The sequence below is a fragment of the Homo sapiens genome, chromosome 8 (genome assembly GCF_000001405.40).
Source record: "Homo sapiens chromosome 8, GRCh38.p14 Primary Assembly".
Classification (NCBI taxonomy): Eukaryota; Metazoa; Chordata; class Mammalia; order Primates; family Hominidae; genus Homo; species Homo sapiens.
The window spans coordinates 120,780,119-120,807,810 of record NC_000008.11 but is presented as its reverse complement, the minus strand read 5'-3'; the positions used below and the strand labels follow the sequence as shown (position 1 = coordinate 120,807,810).

The 27,692-nt window shown below is 37.7% G+C and overlaps 1 protein-coding gene across 3 annotated transcripts in view; it reads left to right on the top strand.

Annotated features, from left to right (window-relative positions):
• The window catches only part of SNTB1 (syntrophin beta 1), a 276,291-nt gene that overhangs the window by 4,236 nt on the left and 244,363 nt on the right, over window positions 1–27,692 (top strand). The window contains exon 1 of one of the 3 annotated variants that reach the window (XM_047422126.1): window positions 4,379–5,027. The exons of the other annotated variants lie outside the window; for them this stretch is intronic. The gene's annotated coding sequence lies outside the window, so the exon portion shown is untranslated. Of the gene's footprint in view, window positions 1–4,378; window positions 5,028–27,692 lie in introns of those variants that run through there. 3 annotated transcript variants of the gene reach the window in all.

Here is a 27,692-nt window from a genome sequence, read left to right as displayed (position 1 = left end):
TCCACTTGGAACTGTGTACTTGAACTGGTTGGAGTTATTGGGTTCAAAGCATTCTTCTGCCCCACTCCTGAAGTGCTGGGGACAAATCAGCAGGAAACAGCAATTGTGTGGGCCACTCAAAAGGGAGGGACGGGAAGGAGGAGTGAGTCTTAAAAACCTAATGCACTAAATGTCTGCTGTCAAAACGAAGCTGCTGTAACATGGCCCAGCCCTACCATGGTTAAACACATGGCCAGCAAGGAGACTAAATGTAATCCAAACTTATATCGTGAATAAACTCTGCCAGTTAAGCCGGTGTTTAGACAATTTTCATTAAAGTTAAGATCAGGAATCTTCACATCACAAGCTCATTTCTCATTTTAAGGAGTAGGGGCAGGGACTGCGCATCCAGCCATGCAGGTATTGGACCTGTAATTCCAGCAACAGCATTCACATAGACCATAGTGTCAATCGCACCCTCTGGAGCTGGGCACAGTGCACCTGCACAAACGTCCTTGGCAGCTCCAGGTCAGGGGGGACAGAGGAGTTTTTTGCTCTTGGATTGATAGTAAAATAGTAATTTGAAATAGGTCGACTTTTTTGTAACTGAAGCTACAAGGAAATTAATTTATCCATAACTTTGTTGAGATCAAGGAGTCAGAATCTTCTGGAAGACTCATGTTGGAGTATGGAGGTGGAGTGCACTGAATAATCCTTTGATCCCAAAGGTCTCCTATGGAACTGAACTGGAAACAGTGGAAACTCAAAGAAGAAAGTCAAGGACAGTTGTTGACATTAACCCTGTCCGTTAGAGCTTCCCCTTCAGCAGTGCTCCCCTGGAATGTTTGCCTGAGATGGTCTGGAACCTCGCTGTCACAATCACTTTCTCCAAGGGTGGAAGTGGGAATGATCGAGGAGGAAGATGGGAGCAAGGGAGGGGCAGTGATTTTCTGGAATAAAATATCAGGATTGGAAGAAAATTTGAATTTTAAGGAATCTTATTTTATTTAGGATGTACAGATTCTTGAAGAATACCCAATACCCTGGGATTCAAGTCTTGAAACCTAGGTTTTTATCTTCTACTAGTTTCACTTTTACAAGAAATTTCATCTTTTTAGGGCTTAGTTTTCTTTACTGGAAAGCATAGGGAGCTGGGTTAAGCCATCTCTAACCTTATTCTGTCTTAAATCCTATAAACTCAGACCCAGTGCACATCACTAATAACAAAATTTTAACACCCCTTTTATTATTGTAAAGTGAATTTCACAAATAACATAGCCTAACTCTACTTTAAGTTTAAACATCAATAGAACGCCCTAGTAGTAATATAAAGGAGAAATAAAATAAATTGTTAAAACAAAAACCATGTTTCAATAGATAAATGCATGGACACAACTACATCAGAGGTCATAATGAAAGAGTTAGATGCTCGCACCTTTATGTTAAATCACTACCAATGCACGGCTGCACATGAAGATGAGTAGGGCTGTGTGGCATCATTTACATTTAGGAGCTAGACAAGCCTTTCACTGTGAAGGACTACCCCAGGTGTTCCAGGATCTCCAGGTTCCCTGGCTTCCTTCACTAAATGCCAGCAGTGTGACACCCCTTCTGCACTTCGTTGCTAAAAAGCCTTCATAAATTTCTGAACTGCCATTCTGGAGGGAGGTGTGGACCCCCCCACCTTCTTGAGAACTGGTGTCCTGTAAGAATGCTAATTCTGCCTCGTCACTTTGTAGTGCCTAACCTTTTGCAAACTCTTTTTCGAATGTAATAATAGCTAACACATGCAAAACATTGTGCCACATGCTGTTTTAAGCACTTTACACGGATTAACTCCCTGGATCCCAATGCTATTCGTATCCCTATTTTACAGACAAGAAAACTGAGGCACAGAGTTTAAGTCACTTGCCAAAAACACACCGTGAATAAGTGCTGAGTCTTAGATTCAAGCACAGGCCTTATAGCTTTTAATGCTCATAAATGGCCCTAGGAGATAAGTAGATAAGGGATGCTTATCCCCAATTTGTTGATTAGGAAAGTGAAGCTCCAAAGGTTGGAATGATTTGTCAGCATTGGTCTTCTGTTTTCTTTTCTGGTGTACTAGTTTTCTATTGCTGCTATAACAAATTACTAGAAACCCTAGTAAATTAAAACAACACACATTTATTACAGTTTTTAAAGTCCGAAGTCTGACACAGGTCTCACTGAACTAACATTATCAACAAAGTTTTATTCCTTTCTGGATGTCTAGGGGAGAACCTTTTTTTTTTAATTTTTATTTTTAAATCTTTTCCAGAAGCTGCTAGAGACCACCCACATGCCTTGGCTTTTGGTCCCATTCCATTTTGAAAGCCTGCAATGGCGGTCTAATTCCTTCTCACATCAAATCATTCCAGTCTCTTTTCTGCTTCCCTTTCATTTTTAAGGACCCTTGTGATTACTTTGGTCACTAAGAAACACACCAGGATAATTCTCCATTTAAATGTCATCTCATTAGCAACCTTAATTCCATCTTCAACCCTAATTCCCCTTTGCCACGTAAGTTAACATATTCACACGATCTGGAGAAGACCAGGACGTGGGTGTGTTTGGAGGAGAGGGTGGGCATTCTTCTGCCTACCAAATCTAGTTTGCTGAAGTTGTAATGGTAAGAAATGTCCTGGGTAGTCATTAGATGATGAACCGCACCTTTATAAATAATCGCTTCCTCTCTCATTGCAAGAGAGTTTCTCATCGATTTATATATTTGCTCTTTTAACAACTAATTTATTGAGTGTCTTTTATGTACTATACTCTACTAGAACATTGCCCTAAAGAAGCAACATTCTATTGACAGATACAGATAAGTACCATGCAGATACCTACAAGAGGGAGGAAAAATGGCTACATTATGGGCATTATGAGATGCTGTGGTAGCCCATGGGAAGGGTATCTGGTCTGCTCTTGGACAGGGCATTATAGAAGGCAAATGCCTTCAGGTAGCCTAAGAAAGAGTCTGGGCCTCATGTGTAGCTCAGTGTGGCTAAGAGGGCAGAATGTGACCTTCAGACTACTGAGGGGGAAGAGTGGGGAAAAAAAAGTAAGGAATTGAGGACCATGCCTTGGGGGGGCGTATTACAGAATTAATTTCAGATTGAGGGTAAAGTTTTAAGCAGGGAAATGTCATGCTCAGTTTTGCATTTAAGGTAGATCACCCTCTAGAGTAACATGAGGTTGGTAAGGCTCTAGTAAAATGGAAGTGCCAGAGAGTAGGTGACTTCCTACTCTCCAAACAGGTGCTGGAAATCAGATGATCTAACACCTCATCAGGCCCATCCTGCTGTATACTACACAAACTGAAGACACTGTGGGTGGACAAAAGGAAGTTAAAGCGGTATAAGGCATGGCTTCTGATTTCAGGGAGCTTCAAGTAATTGAGGAGGTAGGGTATTTGAGGCTGATTATGAAGTACTTGAGCCGGTGATTAGCAATACAAGTTAGCCTTTAGCACAGTGCCTGGAACATATTAGGCTGTTAAAATGTGTTAGAAAGGAAAAAATGCTAAAGGGTGGATGAATGGATGGGTGGAAGGAAAGAGGAAGGAATAAAGGGAGGGAGAAAGGGAAGGAGGGAAGGAAGGAAAGGAAAGGGGAAGAGAGAAAGAAAAGAAGGAGGAAAGGGAGAGAAAGAATTGGAAGATTAGTTGCCCGTTTTATGACTCACATCATCCACCACTCATACTACTGGACTGTGGTGGTAAACATTAGACATGGTATAATGAAAGCTATACCTTGTTCTGTAGAGGAATAAAGAATGACTTTATAGACCTAGGAAACATTTAATTTAAGCCAGTCTTTAAAGATGGTTGACGAAAGAGGAGCCAGACATGATTACAAAAGGTATAGGTAGTGTAATTATCCTTTTAATGTTATACAGGTATTCATAACCACCTTTCTTTTGACCCCCTATGGCTCAGGGACCTACAAGTCTGAATATGTAAGAACGCTTTCTACCTGAGGAGATGAAAACTGTCTGCTTAGATATTTTAATTGCTTCTTTTTTAAGCATATGTAGCAATGTGAGAATTCAGACCATTTTCCTTCCGTGAAGCTGGTCAGAACAGCCCTTCAGTTCCTTATTTCTGCTGTGGTTGGGAAATGCTCTTCATGTTCAGTGGTGCATTTTAGCAGTCACCCCATGGAGTGTGTATTAAAAATAACTCACTCCACATGGCTCCATATTTGTGAAAAGCTTCTAGCTGAATCTACCAGTGGTCTGTTTGGTGAAGGAAAATTATTCTGTGGTAGCTACTGGCCTACTAAGCGTTCCATTTCAAATGATGCACTTCAAAGCTGTTAATGTTTTCTAAAAGCCAGAAGTTCCCCTGCATTTATACCAAGTGTTTTATATACCAAACCTCATTACCCACTTCACTGGCCTTGACCTATAATGATGCTTGCCTTTAGCTCTGGCCTGCAGAGTTAAGACTTAAGACAAAAATATATAATACCCACCACAAAATCAATGCCCTAACAGACTCATGCAAGTGAGCGCCACTCTCAAACAGGGAAAGACAAGATGGAAAAGCTTATGATTAATAGTGATTATGTTGGAAATTAAAATGATGACCCATACTTTTTAGCTCAGTACTTTTTTATAAACGACTACATCTACCTGTGGTTTGAAGCATCATTCTTTGCATGTTGGTGAGTGTGGAAAGATATATCTAAACTGACTGGTTGGTGAGTATCACTGCATTTGACATATCCTATTTATTTGCATTGCTGTTCAAACTGCCATTGTTTCTTCCTGTCACAGTTTTTTTTTTGTTGTTTTTTGTTTTTTTCTCTTCTCAAAGCAGGTTAGTGCAGTGGTTTAGAGGATGGGTGTTAGATTTACTCCGTCTGGGCTTCAATTCCTATTCCATTTATTTCTAACTGTGTGCAAATTACTTAACTACAACTCTCAATTTCTTAATCAGTAAATTAACTTTCCTCTTTGTAGGTTTGTTCTGAGGAGTAAAGGGACTAAGTATGTAAAACAGTTAACTCATTGCCCGGAATTTGGTAAGTCCTAAATTATATAATATGTCACATTTCATGCTTAGCTAAGTATTATTTCCCAATAATTACTTCCCAATAATACTTAGAGTTCAATAATACAATAGCATTCAATTGTATCAGTTACAGGCTTTAATCATATGTTATATAAAGTTGTTTAGGGGTACAAGGAACAATTTGTGATTTGCCATATAGGGAATGGAACAGTGTAACGAATGACCAAGGCGAGGTTGTTTGCTTTGTGAGGTGAGAGTTATGATTCCACACGGGTGTATTTCCTTGATGATTTTTAAGCAGCATCAGATGTTTTCCATCAACCAGACCACAGTGTAGGCTGCTGTGGGTTTTGGTGGGCAAATATGAAATCTGTATTAAAATGCTGGTTGTGCAGAAACATGCAGGAAACTGTTTTGTAAAGGGAAAGCCAATACATAAAGATTTAACCTACACAGCAAACTTCAAACTTCTTTGAAAGTTTGAATTTTCAATTACTTCAATCTTCCAGTAATTATGGAAATGTGGAAATATTATTAACCGAAAAAAGTCAAAATGTTTCTTTTATTGACTGTTAATTTATAAAACTTCTTTCTATAAGTTTACATAAATGTAATAACATAATTGTTATTAAGCCAACACTATACTTTAGTTTTTTATTCTCTATTTAGTCCTGTGCTTCGTGAAATCCCAGAGGCCATCCCGTGGAAGATATATCATGGTTTATTCATCTTTAAGAAAGAAAAAACTGTCTTCAATGGGGAGTCTAATAAGATAATTGCTTAAAGTTGGGACACCAAAGGGTTATCTCTTCAATGCAGGGAAAAATGAGAAATAGACCCATCACTCAGAAAGGGAACTTGCAACAAAGGAACTTGCAGGTCTCGAATTTGGTCCTAGTAGAAGGAAGGACAAATGTCTTCCCTGAGATTTTGATTTTACAATGTCATTGTGAATTTTTTTAAAAAAGTTTAGATAGATAATTTAATTTAAAGTGGTCTCAGGTGGGGAGGCCCCCGGACAAACGATAGGAGCAGCTGTGAATACTCTTTGGAAGAACTCTATGTCCATCCAAGTCTCCAGGGATTTTAAGATGGCAGCAATTTTCAAGGACATTCTCAAAATCAGAGATGATAAAATATGAAAAAATCGGACAGTTTGAATTGATTAAATACAGTGCATAATAGTCATACAATATTGTTAAAATCATGAATTTTGACAATATTTGTTAGGTGAGATCTTATTGATAGATTGAAGCAAAATTTTCATTCCATTACAGGAATGAAATTAAACTCCTTTCCTTCTAAAATAGAACAGTCTGGAGGAGAGACAGGTGTAGAGTAATAAATTACATATATATAAGTTACAAATAGATTTTATAAAACAATAATAAATTATAAAGGAGTGAATGTTGCCACAGAACTTACAGAATGACCAGAGAAGCCATTACGGATATCTGAAATTGAATGGAATGTTTCACAGAAGAGGTGACTTATGTAGTAGAGTTACATTAGCAAAGTGAAACTTAAAATATAGGTAATTATTTGGTTCTTTGAGGCCTTGCATTTCAAATACTTTCATCTGAAACATTCTTTCATCTGCAATGAAAATCAAGGTTAATGATATTTTCTTGCTTGCTTGTAATATTCCTATATTTTCCTCTGTTCTCTGCTTCATTTTTAGAATTTTTCTAAATCAAAATAACATATGATTACAGCATTTCTTTGCATACCTTTCTCCACACCCTCTTCTGCCAAGGATATTAGACTATATATTTCCCAGAATACAAAACTTAGAGTATTAAAATGTATATTCAAATATTAAAACATATATTCTAATATTTTAAACTCTATTCATACTAGAATATATTTTAATATTCTAAGTAATATGCTTATACTGCTTTTTCTTGATATATCAATTCTAGGCATTATTAGCTAAATCAGGCTATGTTTACAAAATTATGACCATGACAGTATCATTCCATTTTTTAGCCAAGTAATATCTATGATTAGATTTCTTAGAGTTATTAACCACTTCTGTTTTTCCTGTTTGCTTAGTTTTTTTGTACTTATCCCAATTTTTTTCTTTCGAATACAACAATAGATTTATTAAATTTCCAGCAGTGATTTTACTTTTTCAATGCTGATGCATATCAAACAATCCACCCATTCTGTATAATTTTTTTCCTGGAGCGCTGCTACTCTGGACTGGTCCCATCTAGGTCTGATGCATGACCATCCTCCTTGGGCTGTCCTTGACTTTCTCCTGGGTCTGTTTTCCTGGATCCATTGTTACTTTTTCTCTGAATTTACTCCCTAGTTTCACTGGAGCACATTTTTCAGTAGCTTCCTGAGAAAGACGCTTGGTAGGTAAATATCTGAAAATGTCTTTAATCTCTCACTGGATGGATAATTTGAATATGATATCCTAAATTAGCTGTTGCTTTCCTTCAGCACTTTCCAGAGTTACTGGTGAGAAATTGTATGGCATTTTCATTCTCTTTTAATAACCTTTTATTAAATCACTAATTGTCTAGGTTATATAAAGTTGGCGTGGGGCTTTTGTTAATCAATTTGCTAAGCATGTGATAGGTACTAATAAGCTAAAGCCATGACTCTTAACCTATGTTTGGAGGTTCCCCTGGGTACATAGGGTGCCCCAAGGAACTTGCCAGGATGCCAGGGAATGTTTTACAATTTCAAGGAAGATGTAGTAACATCTTTTGGACACCAGATAAATCATAACTTGAGTTTCAACATAAGATTGCTACATTCCTTCAATAATGTGATATCTTTTAAGTGAGTTTTCTGCAGTAGCTGTGATTTTTCAAAAAGTCATGAAAATTAGTATGGAACAGGAAATGAGAGTGGTAATATCTATTATAGTATAATTTCAAGTTTTGAAAAGTTGCATAATGCCCAGTAGGTGTCAAGTTTTTAGGACATAAATACTTACTGTTGTTTGGGCCTCATTACTTAATAAATAGATTTGTTAGGTATTTCTTTGGTCCCCAAGTGTGTCATGAAAAAATCACTAAGTCACTAAGGACACCGTTTACCCAGAAAATTGGGACCTCTGAACTGAAGACTCTTACACTATCTGCATGCGGAAATCCTATTAACTGAACATTGGACTCTCCCCATATTGACCCACTAATAAACTGATTTTTGTTGCTATTTCTCCACTTTTCCTTCATTTTTATTCATTTTTTTTTCATTCTGGAGAACTAGATTTTTATGTACAACTCTTGTATTGATTTTTCATTCCATCTATCATATCTCTAAGTTCCCAAACCATTTTCTTGTTCTTTGATTGTTCCTTTTTTATATAGCATCCTCTTGTTGTTTTGTAGACACATTATCTTTGCTTGTCTGTCTGAGCATATTATAATAGTTTTTTGAAGACTATTTTGCACCAGTATTGACTCAGATGTCTCCAAGTTCCTTTTTCTCTACTTTGTTTTTGAGTGTGCTATGCATATCTGATAATTTCATCTATTTTGAGATTTGTTCCATCTTTGTGTACCCCAAGAGACAGAATCTGAAATGAGGATCTAAGTGCAAGAAGTTTATTTGGGATGTAATTCTAGAAAACACTGGCAGTAAAGTGCAGACATGAGACAGTGAAGGGAATGAACCAATAAAGGCCGTACTGTTAGTTGCTCAGTCCCTCTAGAGCTCAGCATGTCCCAATTGAAAGTGAGTGAGAAAGCCGGTAAAATGGATTTACCAACTCTCCAGCCATCTTTGCGTTAAGGGTTGCTTCTGGGACATTAACTCCCTGGTCAGCATCTCTATGAGGGCTGTGTGTACTCCCAACAAAAAGATGCCTTCAGGGAGAGAACTGAAGGTATTTTCTGTAAGCAACCTGCAGCCTGTGGAGTTGAATGCAGAGGAGACATAATATACTAACATTAGGCTTCATCATAATCACATTCCTTATTCTAAAAGAGTTCAGAAGAAATCATGGTGGAAGGTGTATTGCACGCAGCCCTAGACACATTTTCATCTCAAATCTTTTATAAAAAGCTGGTTCAGACACAATCAAGATTGAATATATTATCCTTGGGAAGACTTGCAAGACAATATTTTGGGCCACCTATACCAGATTTTTAAAAACTTCTTGGAATGCATGGCTAGCAGAGTGTTTGTGAAATCCAGCCGATTGCTGATTGCACAGTTCCTGTGAGTAGATTATGTACAAGTTAGATTCATTGAACTAAAAAGGGATATTGTGTACATCAAGGTTTCTCAACTTCAGAGATAGTGACATTTTGGTTCAGATAGTTCTTCATTGTGGAGGCTGTCCTTTGTATTATAGGATGTTTAGCAGCATCTCTAGCCTCTACTCACTTGGTGCAAGTAGCATTATCTTCTTCTAGTTGTATTAAACCAAAGTGTCTTCAGACATTGACAAGTGTTTTCTGGAGGGCAAAAAGTCCCCAGTTGAGAGGCACTGGTGTACAGCCTACAGCTCTGGTTCTCATGCTTGACCACATATTATGGTCACTTGGGAAGCTTTTAAAGCCCTCATGATTGGATCCTTCCCCAAGAGGTCCTGATTTTATTAGTCTGGGGCCTTAGAAGGTTTAAAAGTTCCCCAGGTGGTTCTAATCTACAATCAAGGCTGGTCATTAACTGTAGGGCAGCAAATTGCTGAGTGTAAGACAATCAGATATGGTGAGGCCTGTGTTAAACTGGGCATCTTGTTGCCATATAGAAGAGATCTTCTCTTCTTACGGATTTATTTCTCTTTTTTCGTGCTTTGTAGCAAACATAAGACATTTTTAGCACACCTCTCTTTTAATAGTACTATTCTTGTGTGGCAAGTACTATTCTTGTGTGACAAGAGAACTACTGAGCCACAGAGTGACGATCAAAAGCTAGGCGTGGAATAAAGGTGTACAAACCAGCTTTGTGACCTTGTGCAATCACTGCACCTGCCTGGCCTCAACTTTCTCATTGATAACATAAGAATAGCAATGATGCTTTCTTTATAGGGCTGAGGTGACGATTAAGAGTTAATACAGAACTTAGTACAGTATCTGGCGCATAGAGGTCAGCATGTGTTGACTCTTATTACGAACTGTTTGTCTTCCTCCACTTGAGTGTATGCTCCTAAGAGATCAGGTCTTATCCATCTTAAAACTTCAGTGAACTGAGCAAAATTAACCCATTCTCTGTTTGTCATTAGCCATGGCCTTCACATAGAAGGATTTGGACAAAAAAAAAAAAAAAAAAAAAAAAAAAGAGAAACAAGTTGCTTTGGTTAATGATATTTACTGGCTGTAAAATAATGTGCATTAGTTTGGGTCAACAACTACTCAAAAATGTTGCCAGGCCATGGGCTTTTGTTATGTCAACTCCTGATTGAATATCAACCCCTGAATAACAAAGTCATATGTGCTGTCCCGATCCTTACTTCTAAAGTAGAAAAATAAAATTTTGAAATGGATTTACTGCTTTTCAAATATTATAAACACTTCACAATTTTTATACAGGTACACTTTATTTAAAATTTTAACGTCACAGGATCAGTATTTCTCATTTTGTTAGAACGTGTATTCTCTGCAAATTTATCTTTGCCTCAGATATGAAATGACAGGACACCGTGTTTTTGTACGGTGTGTTTATCACTCTGTATTTATCAGAGAAAAAATAAATATAAGTTTCTACAGCTATTCCAAACACTGAATTAAATCGTATATTCCTTGAAAATGGCCATAGGCCTGGGAGAACTATCTGAAAGAAACTTTTTAAAGAAGGAATCTTAGAAAATGGTTTGTAAAATTCCATTCTCAGCTACTGTATTTTTAAAAAATGTATACCTCTTTATATATTAATATTTGTGTGCATATAATGTAAAACATGCACACAAAATATACTTTGGGAAGGTTGAAACTTTTTCTTTTATAGGTGTACAGAAAGAGCATACATATAAAACACACATAATACTATATGACAGCTTTGCCACGTGAGTGTTCAAATAGAAATGCTATACACATAGACCGAGGGAAGAATCCTGAGACTTAGGAATGGGAAGGAATGCTCTCTTGCAGAGCCAGGGCGGAAAGTGGATGCAAAATAATTCATTCCTGTCTGCCCCTGCCTATTTTCATGCTGTGTGAAAACAGCATGCTTTCCCTAAAAGAAGCTTTAATATAAGTCTCCTCATCAGCACTTTCCCACCAGTTCGGATTAGTTAGACTCTCAGGAGCACGTCCCAGGCACTGGGAACCTCCCACTTCAAATGTGCTTTCTTTCAGTTTTTAACTCCAGACCTGTGTTGTTGATTTATGGCTCTCCTCTCCAGGCTTTCTACTTTTGCATTTTTTAATCTCTATTTTTTGGATTGACTGTGTCACCCCAAAATTCATAGGTTGAAGTCCTAACTGCCAGTACCTCACATGCGATCTTATTTCGAGATAGGGTCTTTATAGAAGTAATCAAGTGTATTAGTCCACTCTCGCACTGCTATAAACAAATACCTGAAACTGGGTAATTTATAAAGAAAAGAGGTTTAATTGGCTCATGATTCTGCAGGCTGTACAGGAATCCTGGCTGGAGATGCCTTGGGAAACTCACAATTATGGCAGAAGGAGAAGGGGAAACGGGCATGTCTTACCACGGTGGCAGGAGAGAGAGCTAAGGGGGAGGTGCTACACACTTTGAAATGACCTCTTGAAAACTCACTCACTATCATGAGAACAGCAAGGGGAAATCTACCCCCATTATCCAGTCACTTCCCACCAGGACCCTAGTCCAACCTGGGGGATTACAAATTGACATGAGATTTAGGCGGCGGCACAGATTCAAACTATGTCATCAAGTTAAAGTGAGGTCATTAGGGTGGGCCCTAATCCAGTAAGACTGGTGGCTTTATAAAAAAGGGGGAAATTTGGAAACATTCATGCACATAGGGAGGGGCCATATGAACATGAAGGCAGGGATGGGGATGATGCATCTACAAGCCAAGGAACACCAAGGATTGCCAACAAACACCAGAAACTAGGAGCAAGGCACAGAAGAGTCTCCCTCACAGTCTTCAGAAGGAACCAAACCTGCTGACACCTGGATCTTGAACTTTTAGCCTTCAGAACTGCGAGACAATGAACTCCTGTTGTCTAAGCCATCCAGTTGGTGGTACTTTGTTATAGCAGGCCTAGGAAACCAACACCCACTGTAGGAGGATTTAGAATAAATTTCATTAGAAGTTAATAGGGAGTGTATGAAATGAGTAAATAGTAACTAAATTCTAGCATTCTAGATATTTTTTCTCTTTGTCAAATATCTAATGACACCACCTGTCTTTACTAAGTGTTCAGATGAATTCTTGATCACCTCTAGGTGTGTGGTCAGGACAGAGAGAGCTGGGCAATGGCAAAGGTTGTTCAGATTAATTTGTGTTTATTAAATAGGTGGGACCAGGTCCCCTGGTACATACAGCACCACTAAATTTTGCTCTCATGCATGCCAGCCTTGCTATGTGTACAGTTACCAGAGAGCAACTTCTCCATTTTCTTTTTGTTTTGTTTTTTGTTTTTTTTTTTAACTTCTCCACTTGCTAAAAGAGTCAAAATCTGATACCTATGCAACTGAACTAATTAATAGATTTGCTAAAATCTTTACACGTATCATTGCTGAATAAAATAGTTATTTGATACAAATAAATTTTAAATGTATAAGTATTTCCCAAATATTGCATGGGACATACTTATGATGAAAAATATTTGTCATTCATCTGAAAGTTAAATTCAACTGCGTTTTTCTTTGCTGAATCTGGCAATTTTATTTATGTGACTTTCAAAATTATAGCCTTTCAGCCAGTCTGAGACTCTGGTTTGCAGCAAACCAGGAGTCACTAGAGATAGACTGACCAGAAAGTAGATGGTTTTAAAATGGTTTGTAAAGATAATGGTAAACCAAGAAGCTCTTGGGAAGGTATGGCCATGGTCCTTCTCAGAAGACTGAAGAACAGCTGATGGAAGGTGTGGTTCCTTCTCTAAAGCCCTGGCTCCTCTCACCAATTTTAGAGGAACCAGAGCTTAGAGCAGCAACTAAGAAATGGGGCAAAAGGATAAGGAATGAGATGGCAGTAAATCTTCAATCAGTACTGACTGAATTACTAATAAAAACTAATATTACCAAATAACCTAAAGCACTTACCAAGTGAAAATCAAAGAATCGGTCTCTTGATGCTGTTGTAAAACTAATTAACAAGATTATCATTAATAACAGCCCCTCTTTATATATTTACCTTGCACCTCATAGTACATATTTTTATATACTTGAGTGTGTGTGTGTATATATATATATAAAATAGTACATACACTACTGATATATTGAATAGCTTTCTCTAAGTAACACAGACTTTACAGAAGTCCCTCTAGTTAGTCATTTGAAAGAAGTGAAGGAAGGGGCTTACCTTCTGAGTTTTGTATGTGAAGGTCTGAGAAATTTAATGCTGTCATAAATTAACTTGAGCTGATGGGAGCTGGGAATGCTGGTACGGGAAGTTTAGAGAGGGAAATACACTTAAAAAAATTTCAGTGCTCCATTCCAAGTTACTGGATTGTGTCATCCTTCAGAATATTGTATGGTCTAAAGGACTTCTCGAAGTCTCTCCAGTTTCTTGCTGACTGGTATTGAAGCTTACCTTCTTAATACTGAATTCACCATCTCTGCCCATTCCTTCAGTTTGTTCATGAAGGGGAAGGGAGCCATGTGGAAAGAAAGCCTGATTTTCCTGATCTCACCCTATTATTGTCATAACTAAACCAATTGCAGGATTTTTTTCCTTCTACAGTATAAAAACATTTATTCACACTTGATCTATATTAAAAATAAGCTGAGACATATTTTACCATTGAGAAAGACACTGTGAGCTAGTCACACTATAAAAGTTCTTTCATATGCTTCAGATAACAAATATATGAACATTTCAAAAACTCTTAATAATTTTGGGGGGTTTTGGCAGCAACATTAAAATTCAGATTAATTCTTTAATTGTTAATGTGTTCTAGAATCTTGTATTAAATAAATAGGATTTTTAAAATCACTTTAGGAAGACCTGTATTTGACTAGTTAGAACAATGTAGAGTTTTAAGTTTAATAGGCTGATCTGCAGTTACACAACTCCTTAGACCCTAAGCACCCAAATCTTCATAATTCCGGTTCTCAGAAACCCAGGACACCGGAAGAAAAAAAGATTTTGAACTGGAGCTGGTTCCTTGAGTGGAATACTTCATAGATTGTATCCTGATAGATCACATTTGGGAACAGCATTTCTTCACGGGCAGCCTGTGTCCTCTCTCTTACATCTCAACTTGCTTTATCTTTTTAGCAGCATGATTAGAAGTGGTTACTGCAACTGCTGTGGAAAAATCCACCAGGAGGTTATCGTATTTAATGTTTCAGAAAACTTGCTTTTGAAGGCGATAACAGTATTTCTTCATCACTGTGCCTTTGGGCAAGCACAGATGTGTTGCATACCGTTAAATCACTCTCTTCTTAGGGTGCAATGTTGTTCTTTGAAAGTATTTGGTTCTCCTTCCACCTCTCTTTCCCCCACCCTCTCCTTATGCCAAATAAGGCACATTTCCCAGACTTACTCTCCACACCCAGCAAGGTATTGCTTCAGAAATCCTGAGTGATTTTTTTTTAACTCATTCCATCCCAGTTGCATCTCCAAGCTCATGATACATGTTTCTTATTCATTTCAGGTTTGCACACATTGAGCACCTCTTAGTATGGAGCCCTAAAGTAGATTCCAGAGATAGAAACGTATTAACAAAGCACCAACACACAGACCTATAGAGAGGCCACCTTCTTTTCTTTTCTTCCAGTGGAGTTTGCCTTGAATTAGAGTCAGGGAGAACCATAGTGTAATAGACACTTCAATCTTAGTAACAAAAAGGGTTGAAATTATATTTCAGGCAATGTTGATTCCATTAAAAGTATGAGTCTTGAGAGGGAAATGATGGAGAAGCAGAGGACTTCTTATGTGAATCAGGTAGTGTACAACATCCTGTACAACCAGCTACCTTTTCGTAAAATAAAATCCCAAACCTTTGAAATACCATCAAAACTTGCTACAATTTTAGCTTCAAACCAATTTTCCCATTTCCCAGGTTAACGCTATACTTTAGCTAAATTATTCAATTTACCATCTAAAAACACTGTAAAATATAGGACTTGCCACGGTACTTGGCTAGCAGCAAGCAACTAGTTTATATTTGGAGAAGAATGAGTGAATGAATTAACATGAATTATTTCTTCTTCCATTGCAATTAAAAAAGATTTAAAAGCTTTAGGGATAAAGTAGATTTTTGTTATATGGATGAATTTTATAGTGGTGAAGTCTGGGATTTTAGTGCACCCATCACACAACTAGTGTACATTGTACCCAATAGACAGGTTTTCATCACTTACCCCCACCCACCCTCCCCTTTTCTGAGTCTCCAATATCCATTATCCCTCTCTGTATGCATTTATGTACCTGTAGCTTAGCCCCCACTTATGAGAACATACAGTATTTAGTTTTCAGTTCCTGAGTTACTTCACTTAGAATAATGGCCTCTCGTCTCATCCAAGTTGCTGCAAATGACATTATTTTGTTCTTTTTTATGGCTGAGTAGTATTCCATGGTGTGTGTGGGTGTATGTATGTGTGTGTGGGTGTGTGTGTGTGTGTGTGCTTCTTTAGTACTCATATATATATGAGTGGTACCCACTCATCGGTTGATGAGCATTTCAGTCATTTCCATATCTTTACAATTGTGAATCATGCTGTAATAAACATACCCATGCAGGTGTCATTTTAATATAGTTAATGTTTTCCTTTGGGTAAATACTCAGTAGTGGGATTGCTGGATCGAATGGTAGATCTATTTTGAGAAATCTCCATACCATTTTCCATAGAGGTGTACTAATTTACATTCCCACCAGCAGTGTATAAGTGTTCCATTTTCATGACATCCACACCACCATCTGTTGTGTGGGTTTTAAAAAATTTTTAATAATGTTTATTCTGATTGGGGTAAGGTAGTATCTCATTGTAATTTTAATTCGCATTTCCCTGATAATTGATGTTGAGCATTTTTTCATGTTTGTTGGAATTTGTATATCTTCTTTTGAGAAATTCATAGCTTCAAGTATTCATGATATTTGCCCACATTTTAATGGGATTATTTGGATTTTTTCTTGATGATTTGTTTGAGTTCCTTGTAGATTCTGGATATTAGTCTTTTGTCAGATGCATATTTTGCAAATATGTTCTCCCATTCTGTAAGTTATCTGTTTACTCTGATGAGTATTTCTTTTGCTGTGCAGAAGCTTTTCAGTTGAATTAGGTCTCATTTACTTGGTAAAGTTTTATTTGCTTTCGGGGTTTTAGTCATAAATTCTTTGCCTAGGCTGATGTCCAGAAGAGTTTTCCTTAGTTTTCCTTCTAGAATTATTATGGTTTCAGGCCTTAGATTGAAGTCTTTGATCCATCTTGAGTTAATTTTTGTATATGGTGAGAAATAGGATCCGGATTCATTCTTCTACATGTGGCCATTCAATTTTCCTATCAACATTTATTGCCTCCTTTCCCCAATTTATGTTTTTGTATGCTTTGTTGAAGCCCAGTTGGTTGTATTTGACTTTATTTATGGGTTCTGTAGTCTGTTCCAATGGTCTATGTGTCTACTTTCATACCAGCACCATGCTGTTTTGGTTGCTATAGTATACATGTTTGGTTACAAAACATGTAACCAAAACTATATATAGTATATAGTATATAGTACTATATACTATAGTAGTATAATTTGAAGTCAGGTAATATGTTGCCTCCAGATTTGTTCTTTTTGCTTAGGATTGCCTTGGCTATTTGGGCTCTTTTTAAGTTCCATAGGAATTTGAGGATGATTTTTTTCGAATTCTTTAAAAAATGATGTTGACATTTTGATAGAAATTGAATTGAATCTGTAGATTGCTTTGGGCAGTATGTCCATTTTCATGATACCGATTCTTCCAATCCATGAGCACAAGATGTATTTCCATTTGTTTGTATCATCTATGATTTCTTTCTGTAGTGTTTTGTAGTTCTCCTGGTAGACATCTTTTGCCTCCTTGGTTAAGTAAATTCCTAAGTATTTTATTTTATTTTATTTTTTGCTATTGTAAAAGGAATTGTGTTCTTGGTTTTATTCTCATCTTGGTTGTCTTTGGTGTATAGCAGTGCTGCTGATTTGTATACACTGATTTGGTAACCTGAGACTTTACTGAATTAATTTATCAGATCTAGTAATCTCTCGGAAGAGTTTTTAGGGATTTCTACTTATAAGATTATGTCATTGACAAACAGAAAATTTGACTTCCTCTTTTCCAATTTGGACGCCCTTTATTTCTTTCTCTTGCCTGATTGCTCTGTCTAGGATTTCCAGTACTATGTTGAATATGAGTGGTGAAAGTGGGCATCCTTGTCTTGTTCCAGTTCTTAGGGGCAATGCTTTCCATTTTTTCCCATTCAGTATGATGTTGGCTATGGGTTTGTCATATATGGATTTTATTATTTGAGGTATATTCCTTGTATGTCTAGTTTTTTGATGGTTTGTATCATAAAAGGATGCTGGATTTTATTGAATGCTTTTTCTGTGTCTATGGAAATGTTCATAAGGCTTTTGTTTTTAATTGTTCTTGTGATAAATCCCATTTATTGACTTTCACATGTTGAAACAGGCCTCCATCCCTGGAATAAAACCCACCTGATCATGGTGAATTACTTTTTTTGATGTGCTGTTGGATTTGGTTGGCTAGAATTTTGTAGAGGATTTTTGTATCTATATTCATCAAATACATTGGTCTGTAGCTTTCTCTTTTTTTGTTATATTCTTTCCTGGTTTTGGTATCAGGGTGATACTGGCTTTGTAGAATGAGTTAGGAAGGATTCTCTCCTTCTCAATCTTTGGAATAGTTTCATTATAATTGGTACCAATTCTCCTTTGAATGTCTGGTAGAATTTGGCTGAGAATCTGTCTGGCCTTGGGCTTTTTTTGTTGGCAGCTTTTTTAAAATTACTGAGTCAATCTCATTGCTTTTTATTGATCTGTTCAGGATGTCTATTTCTTCCTGATTCAAGCAAGGTCGGGGGTTATATGTTTTCAGGAATTTATCCAATTTCTCTAGATTTTTTTGTTTGTGTGCATAGAGGTGTTCATAGTAGTCTCAGATGATCTTCTGTATTTCTGTAGTGTCAGTCGTAATGTCTCCATTTTCCCTTCTAATTGAGTTTATCTGAATTTCTTCTCTTCTTGGTTAATCTAGCAAGTGGCTTTTCAATTTCATTAATCTCTTCAAAGAACCAGCTTTTTGTTTCATTGATTTTTTTTCTTTTGGTTTCAATTTCATTAGATTCTGCTCTAATCCTTTTTATTTCTTTTTACTTGCTAGCTTTGGGTTTGGTGTGTTCTTTTTTTTTCTACTTCCTTGAGGCATGACATTAGATTATCAATTTTTGATCTTTCAAACTCTCTGGATGGCATTTTGTGCTATAAACTTTCTTCTTAGCACGCCTTTTGCTATATCCCAGAGGTTTTGATCATTTGTTTCACTGTGATCATTCATTTCAGAAAATTCTTAAATTTTCATCTTTATTTCGTTGTTAAAACAAAAATCATTCTGGAGCAGATTTGTTTAATCACTATGTATTTGTATGGTTTGAAGGTTACTTTTGGAATTGATTTCTAATTTTATTCTGCTGTGCTCTGAGAAGATACTTGATACTGTTTCAATAATTTAAAATTTATTGAGGCTTGTTTTGTGGCCTATCATATAGTCTCTCTTGGAGAATGTTTTGTGTGCTGATGAGAAGAATGTGTATTCTGAAGTTCTTGGGTAGTATGTTTTGTAAGGGTCTTTTAGATCCATTTGAGCTAGAGTACAGTTTAAGTCCAGTGTTTCTTTGTTGATTTTCTGCCTCAATGTTCTGTCTAGTGCTGTCAATGGAGTGTTGAAGTCCTCCACTATTATTGTGCTGCTGACTATTTCTTTTCATATATCTAATAGTAACTGCTTTATGAATCTTGGAGCGTCAGAGTTAGTTGCATATGTATTTAGAATTGCTAGATCTTCTTGTTGAATTGATCATTTTATCATTATGTAATGACCTTCTTTGTCTTTTCCTTGTGCTGTTTTTGCTTTAACATCTGTTTTATCTGATATAAGAATTGTTACTACTGCTTGATTTTGGTTTCCATTTGCATGAAATATCTTTTTCCACCCCCTTACCTTGGGTCCATAAGATTCCTTACATGTTAGTTGTATCTCTTGAAGACAGCAGATATTTGGTTTATGATTTTTAAATCAGTTATGCCAATCTGTATATCTTAATTGGACCATTTAGACCATTTACATTCAACATTAATATGAAGATGTGAATGTGAATGACTGTTCCAGTCATCATGTTAATTGTTACCTAATGACTTTGTTTTCTTACTTGTCTTATTGTTTTATAAGCCCTGTTAATTTTAAGCTTTCAGGAGTATCTATTCCAATGTGTAGCAGCCTTTTGTTTCAAGATTTAGAACTCCTTTTAGTATTTCTTGTAGGGCTGGTCTAGAATTGACAAATTCCCCCAGCATTTGCTCACCTAAAAAAGACTATATTTCTTCTTCATTTATAAAATTTAGTTTTGCTGGATGCAGAATTCTTGGCTGACAGTTATTCTATTTAAGGAGACTAAAGATAGGACCCCAATCCCTTCTAGATGTCAGGTTTCTACTCAGAAGTCTCCTGTTAGTCTGATAGATTTTCCTTTACAGGTTACCTGATGCTTTTGTCTCACTGCTGTTAGAATTGTTTCTTTCAGGTTGAGTTTAGATAGCCTGATGACTATATGTCTTGATGATTTTCTTTGTGCAATGAATCTTCCAGGAATTATTTGATCATCTTTTATTTGGATGTCTAAATCTCTAGCAAGGCCAGGGAAGTTTTCCTTCATCATTCCCTCAAATAGGTTTCCCAAACTTTTTGCTTTTTCTTCTCCTCAGGAACACCTATGATTCATAGGTTTGGCCATTTTACATAATCCCATATTTCTTAGAGACTTTATTCATTTCTTTTAATTTTTTTGTAATTTTTGTCTAATTTGGTTAATTCAAAAGCCTTGTCCTCAGGCTCTGAAATTCTTCTACTTGATCTAGTCTATTGTTAAAGCTTTCTTCTGCATTTTATAGTTACCTAAATATGTCTTTCATTTCCAGTAATTCTGATGGTTTTTCTTTAAAATATGTACCTCTTTAGAAAATTTTTCATTCATATCCTGAATTGTTTTTGAAATTTATTTATGTTGTTTTTTTTACCTTTCTTCTGTATCTCCATTAGTGACTTAATAATCAACCTTTTGAATTTTTTATCTGGTTATTTCAAAGATTGCATTTGGGTTTGAATCCACTGCTGTAGAGTTAGTATACTCTTCTAGGGATATTAGAGAATGCTGTTTTCTTTTCATATTGCGTGAATTGTTTTTCTCATTTTTTTCTTTTTTAGGTAAACTATTTCATCTAATTATTTTAAAATTTATTTTTGATTCAACTTTTTTTAAAAATTATTTTTCTCTTGAGGATGTGACTTTAATGTTTATAGGTTATTGTCACCTAGCTTCAGCTCTGGGTATTTTCCATGGTGAATACTCTGTATGAGTTTCTTGTTTATAGAGAATCCTTGTGTAATGGCTTTCTCAGATGCTGTTTGTAATAGTGATGTGTTAGGTATGTGAGCAGGTTCACTGTCTCCTGTTGGGCTGGAATGGCAGAGGTCTCATGAAGCTTATCTTATTCCCCAGTGGTATGCATTTAAAAAACGTTTTTTCCCTAGTACTTTCTTCATTGGGTTGAACAGTTCAGGCTTCAGGCGAGTGGGAGATGGCTATGGGTAAAATCTGGCAGTGGCTAAAGCGGGTGGACAAACACATTACCCTAACAGTGTGCCAAGGTCCCAGACTTGACAGAGGTAGGTGGGGAAGCTTTCAGTGAAATGCAATGAGGTATTTCAGGGGGAAGGGAAGGAGCCACAACAGCCTCCATTGCAAGCCAGCAGGAAAGCAGTCCTCCTTCCAGTCACACTCTTGACCTGGTATTCTGGCTATTCAGATCAGACCAGTACCTCTTTTCATCTGTAGGAATGCTGATGTTCTGTGTAGGGAGGGATTGTGACTCTACCTCTCATGCAAGCCTGAACCTGGAGGGTACTCCTCCTACAGGGATGCAGTCACCCTGAAGTGTTCCAGAAAGGCTGTCTACAGATGTTCCCATGCTGAACTCCTGTGGTAAAAGCCCCAGCTGTGTCTGCAGTGGTGGGCAAGGGGGAGAAGTCCCTTCTCTAAGACCCTTCATGAGCACCAGGGCTGCCTGATCGTTGGGCTAGAGCGCCAGACTCTTCTCACTGAACCCAGCACTGCACCTGTATCTCTGCTGAAACAGACTTCCCACAAGTAGAAAGTGCAGGGGTGCAAGGCCTGCAGCCTGATTTCCTTTGCCTCACAGGGTGCTCCCTTAATGTGGTGCATGCCTTCTTCCCTAGGAGTAGCAATCCCTGAGGGCCAGACTACTGGAAATCCCTCTGCTCCTCTTAGTCTAGCCACCCAGTGGGGCTTCCGCACCCCAGACTGTTGCTGGGGAATATCTGCAGACGGTTCAGTGGTATAACCTGTCCTCTAGTCTCCCAGCAGCAGGTACTGCGTCAGCTCTGATGGGAGTAGGAGGGAAGTCACGTAGATTGTGTGAGATTTCCTTGGTTATAAATAGCCTTAGTGTGTTGGCTTTCTCAAATTTCTCAAATGCCAGCAGTAGTAGTAATGTACTGGGCACATGGACAGACTCAAGACCTCCTGGTTAGCCAGCGTAATGCAGGCAATGGCAATAGCTGAGGTTGTGCAAGTTTTTCCTTCCTGAGTGCTGTGTTATTGTGCCTGCAGATGTTGTAATGGGCTGGGATGGCTGGCTTCCAGCCAGGAGGTGATGCTTGCAAAAGAGCTCCAGCTGTGGTAGTAACAGTGGGATTTGTGTTTGCCTTGTGTTTCCCAGAGTAGGTACTCTGGGGTCTCAGGCAGTGGGCGGGGCCATGGAGCACCCAAAATTCCCTGTTAATTGTGTTTCACTACCAGAGTGGGTGGAGGAGCAAAGCCACATGGGGGCCAGGTCAGACAAGTCCATGCACTGGCTTCTCATGTGCGGGCTCAAGCAGCAGCCCCAATGGGGATCAGAGGGCAGTTCTCAGGCTGCTGCAGTAATGTTCCAGTGAGGAGCACAGCTGCCTCCACTGCACAAAATGATCTGCGTGGGGATCGGGGAGTAGCAGGTGGCAGTAAGCTGCACTCAGCTCCCACGCATTTGGCAAGGGAGGTCTGACACCCACAGTGTTCTGCTAGCAGCAGCTAGCTGGGTTCCAGGCAGCCTGTACTCAGAACCCAAAACTGCCCCGGGCCATAACCCTTCTTGACTGAGACAGAAATCATGGTTTCCAGGCCATACCCCTCCTGGTCCACCCAGGAAACAGAAATGCCAACTCCTGTGCCCATGGCTGTAGCACACTTCCTGCTCTCTCAATGGTTCTGGTCATAGGGTTTCATTCCTACTCAAGATTATATCATGAATCTCAGCTGGGGGTTTCTCTAAACCCGTGACCACTGCCTGAATTAGCTGACAGACTTCTGCAAGGTCCCCTGTGAGGTGGAATGAAGAACGGTTTCCCTCCATCCCTGCTGGAGTCTGAGGGTGCACTCAGATGACATCCTGATGCCACTCCTTCTCATATATTCCCCAGCACTCACTAAATTAGTTCCAGCACTTAGTAGGGTTGAGGCCTTCCCCCTTGTCCTGGACTCCCCAGTGTGGGGTTGTGTCATAGAGGCAGTCTCTCCCCTCCTTAAACTCTGCAGACTCAGTTTTTCTCCTGGTTCACAGTGTAGGCTGCTGCCCACTGCTTCTTTCCAAGAGTCAGCAATTTCTTTCCGTTTTTCTTTTAAATTCCTGTGTTGCTTCTTGGAAAACTGTTTACAGCATGAATCTCAATACACTATTTTGTCTTTTCAAGTGGAAGAGGCATGCTTACAATGCCTCCAATCCACCATCTTGGAAAGAAAAAGCTATCATTGCCATTTTTAACATCATTTTTCCACAGCATTCCACACCAAGAATATTCCAATTCCAAATTCTGGAGAGAGAAGGGATCTGATTAGTGTGGCTCGGGTCAGGTGTCTCTCCTTTGTCCGGACAGCTGTGTCCAGGAAATCAGGCCATGTGGCTAGATGCCCACTCAGCCAGGACTCTGAGCACACTTTCTGAGAAGTGGCTCATGGTTATGACCTGCCACATCGTGGAGTAGCTTATGAAATGCGATTTATTGAGATATTATAGGAGATCTAGTATAGTCATCCCTCTGTATCTGAGGTGGATTGGTTCCAAGACTCCCTTGGATACCATAATCATTGGATACTCAAATCCCTTTAAAAAAAATGGTGCAGGCTGGGCACAGTACCTCACACCTATAATCCCAGCACTTTGGGAGGCCGAGGCAGGCGGATCATTTGAGGTCAGGAGTTCAAAACCAGCCTGGCCAACATGGTGAAACCCTGTCTCTACTAAAAATACAAAAATTAGCTGGGTGTGATCGTGGGTGCCTGTAATCCCAGCTACTTGGGAAGCTGAGGCAGGAGAATTGCTTGAACCCAGGAGGTGGAGGTTGCAGTGAGCAGAAATCGTGCCATTGCACTCCAGCCTGGGCAACAGAGCAAGACTCTGTCTCAAAAAAAACAAAACAAAACAAAACAAAACTGGAGTATTTGCATGTAACCTACACACATTTTCCCATATACTTTCAATCATTTCTAGATTACTTATAATACCTAGTACAATCTAAATGCTATGTAAATTGTTCTTATACTGTATTATTATTTACTTGCGTTATTTTAAAATAATTTTATTGGTAAAAAAATTTTTGTTTTATCTATTTCGAATATTTTCCATCTGTGGTTGGTTGAATCCTCGGATGCAGAACCTACGGATAGGAAGGACCAACTGGATCTGGAAGGGGCAGTAGGGAACAAAGAGTTTACTGATTGTTCTTCTTTGCCCTTGAAGTTGGACAGAGATTGAAGCAGCAGTGTCTAGAATTGGAAAGGACTAAAAGGGGTTACAAAGTGGTATTTTCAGGGGAAAGCCAGGACTCTATCAGGGCAAGTTGGAGGAAGAGGAGGGAGAATTTGAAAAAAGATGAAAAATAAGGAGAAAACTTTTTCCATAAGAAAACATTTCATATTATTTTAGGTTTTGGTTAGGGGTATTGACATTATTTTTTTTCATCTCATGATTAAATATGCATTTATTGAATGCACATGTGTATTCAGTATAATATTCAGTGCATATTCTACATGTATAACATAACTTTCATTTTAAACAATGCATTCCAAGTCCAAGCAGCAATATTATAAATTTTAAAAAAGCAACCCACATTTAGATTGAGATTTTCCCACAATTGTTGAATGATTCAGTAAAAGTGAGTGAGTAGGTGAAATGAGTTAGTGAAAACCAACCAACTGAGAGTGAGAAGTAGTGTATTTGGAAAATATCAGTGATATATAATTTATATAATTTACTTCCATGAGAAATACTTGCTATTCTGTTAGATTGCTAGCAGAACTTGTGTTCAAAATTAACCAGAATAGTTAAGCCAAGTTAGATAAACATATTTGCAGAAGCTTTTTAGGTTAGGATACAATTGCATATTATAGACCAACTATTGATTAGACACACTCATTAAGAGAAACTTTTTCTCTCTTAAACTTCCTGTGAAGAGATATATTCTTAGTATAAAGACCAGTGCATGAAGAGTTGACTGGAAATCAAAGAGAAACTTGTTTTCCTTGTTTTTCTTTCTGAGTGAAAAAGCAAAAGGTAAATATCATGGTCAAATGGAAAAGTAAATTGGATTTTAAATTTTCATGTGTGTTTTCCCAGTTTGAGGTGCTCAGATTTCATTTAGTGGTTCAGTTATAATTGACAAGACCTCTTAAAACGTGACGTATCCACTTGAGGGTAGAACTTTTTCGTGTATCTGTTAGGTGAATGTTTTTACATTATTGGATGGTAACTCTGTTATATAACATTTGTTACGTTTATACTATAACATTTTACATATATATGTGTGTGTGTGTAGGTATGTATGTATACATATTTATGCCTAATTTAAATTATTATTACATTCTGGGAGATAATGTGGTTTCTGTTCTCCATTTTATTTAATAGAGTTTTTAAAAATAGGTAAATGTGCAGGAAATCTCTAACCAATAAATGTTGTATTTCAGTTGATTTTAACTTTTAAAAAACTTTTTTTAAAAAAAGGTTTCTTTTAAAAAAGAAACTCTAAATGTTCGAGGGAAGGCTTCAAGGATTTTGTTTTCTCCTGGTTTCATGGGTTGAATTGTGTCTCCTCAAAATTCATATATTGAAATCTTAACTCCAGTATCTCAAAAGGTGACTGCATTTGAAAATAGGATTGTTGCAAATATGATTAGCTAAAACGAGGTTATATTGGAGTAGGATTAGCCCCTAGTCCAGTATCACTGGTATTCTTATAAAAAGGGGAAATTTGAACACACAGACATGCATGGAGGGAAGACCATGTAAAGAGACACAGCAAGAAGGTGATCTACCAGCAAGCCATGGAGAGAGGCCCAGGACAGTTCCTTCTCTCACAGCCCCTTAGAGGGAACCAACCCTGCTCACACTGTGATTTTGGACTTCTTGTCTCCAGAATAATGAGACAGTAAAATTCCATTGTTTAAGCCACTTGGCTTGTGATACTTTGTTATGACAGCCCTAGCAAACTAATACACCTGGCTATATGTCAGTAGTGGCTGCCACACAGAATGATATGGTCTCTCCCATGCTAGAGACAGACTTTATGTTAGAAATTCCAACTCCATGCCCCAGCTTCTAGGACTTTTCTTGTTCTTCTCTTTAACATTAGACATTTCTAATGTCCACTGAGGTTGAGCTGTGATATAATTTTCCAGGAGGACCTATAGAATCATCTGAAAATTCCTGAATAAGAATGAGTCCATTCTCTGTTTTGTGAAATTCATAAAAAGAGGTAGGTTGGCCACACACGTATAATACACAGACCTAGTAGGAATGCTGGGCTCTTGCTTTGACTCTATGCTCCATGGCCTTGGGTCACCCACTTAACTTATCTGAGTCTCAGTCTTTTTATTTGTAAGATAGAAGTTAGTCTTTTTGTGACTTTGTGAGTCTAAATTCAAATATCTTTATTACATAAGCCAAAGTAAGTGAATATGTAGTAATAACACTTAATAGTTTTCATGGTTCTTTTTCTCACCATTTTCATACATTATCCAAGTGAAAAATATCTTTGGTTAAAAAAAAATGGCAAAATACAGGATGTCTTATAATGCAAAGCACAGTGTCTGCTTCAGCCATCCCCATCCTCCTCAATGCCTAGCTTACTTCCCAGAGGAAACCACTTTTAACAGTTTCCATATTTAGCTCTTTTAGTGGTTACCACCCTAACTTTAAAAATATGCTTATGTTACATTTCCTTGATGATCAACTCTAGACATTATCTCTTTGCTCCCCACCACTTACTACTAGAATCACTGATTCAGCAGACATTCCCCATAGCCTGTAGGTCCACAGACCTCTTTTGGAGTCTCATTCTCTATGGATCTAATTTGAGCAAAGAGCTTTTGCTTCACTCTAAGGAAACCAGGGATTAGATGATCACGGGGCATAGCACAGGATGAGAAGGTGTTTGGCTTAATTACTCAAGGTCAAATTGGGCCTGAGTTGTAATGAGTTTACTCTTATATTTTTCTGTCTGACCACATTTATTTTAAATAAAATTAAAACAAAAGGTGAACTTAAAATATTGTATGTTACTTTTATAAAAAGGGAAATTATCTACCCTGATAGCTCATTTCTTTAAGAAGTACCACTTATTAAGAGATAGTTAACAGGTATGGTGCTTTATTCTTCAATTTTAAACATGAACTAAACTGCTATGAAGATGTCAGTTGATCATTTGTGGTGCCAGTTTGATTTGGTTTTGCAGCTTTCCCCTTCCAGAAATTTGCTATTGGTTATCCAAAGAGTAAGACATAAGAGAGAAAACAGAGTTGAAACCATTACTGTTTCTTGGAAACATGGCATTTCTGCAATTCAGATTTTTCTGGAAATGCTATAAAGTAAATGGCTTTGACTTATAATTTAGAAAACCTCATTATCATCCATAATGTCAGGAAAACATATTTTAGAAAAGTTTACATGTTGACCATTTTGGGTTTCTTTGAGCACTGCTCAAAGAATGTGACACATCTGTTGCTCATTTCTAAGTCCTGATTACGTTGAATGACTCACCAAAGTGGAGTCAGAAAACACTGATGTTAATGGAGTTTCATATTTAGCTACTGTATATGCAATAGTCACAGATAAATATTAAAGCATAGCTTAAGAAGAGATATTCAAGGATATGTCTGCAAATGAGGCAAGCCAATTTGGTGGTGGGGTGAAAAGAAATGTAGAAGGAGTTGTGTTTTCAGCACTTTCTGCTGCATACCAGCCCTCTTTCTGGAAATTCTTTCTTGCCTTGTTGGCTTTGTGATAGCACTCTTTCCTGGTTCT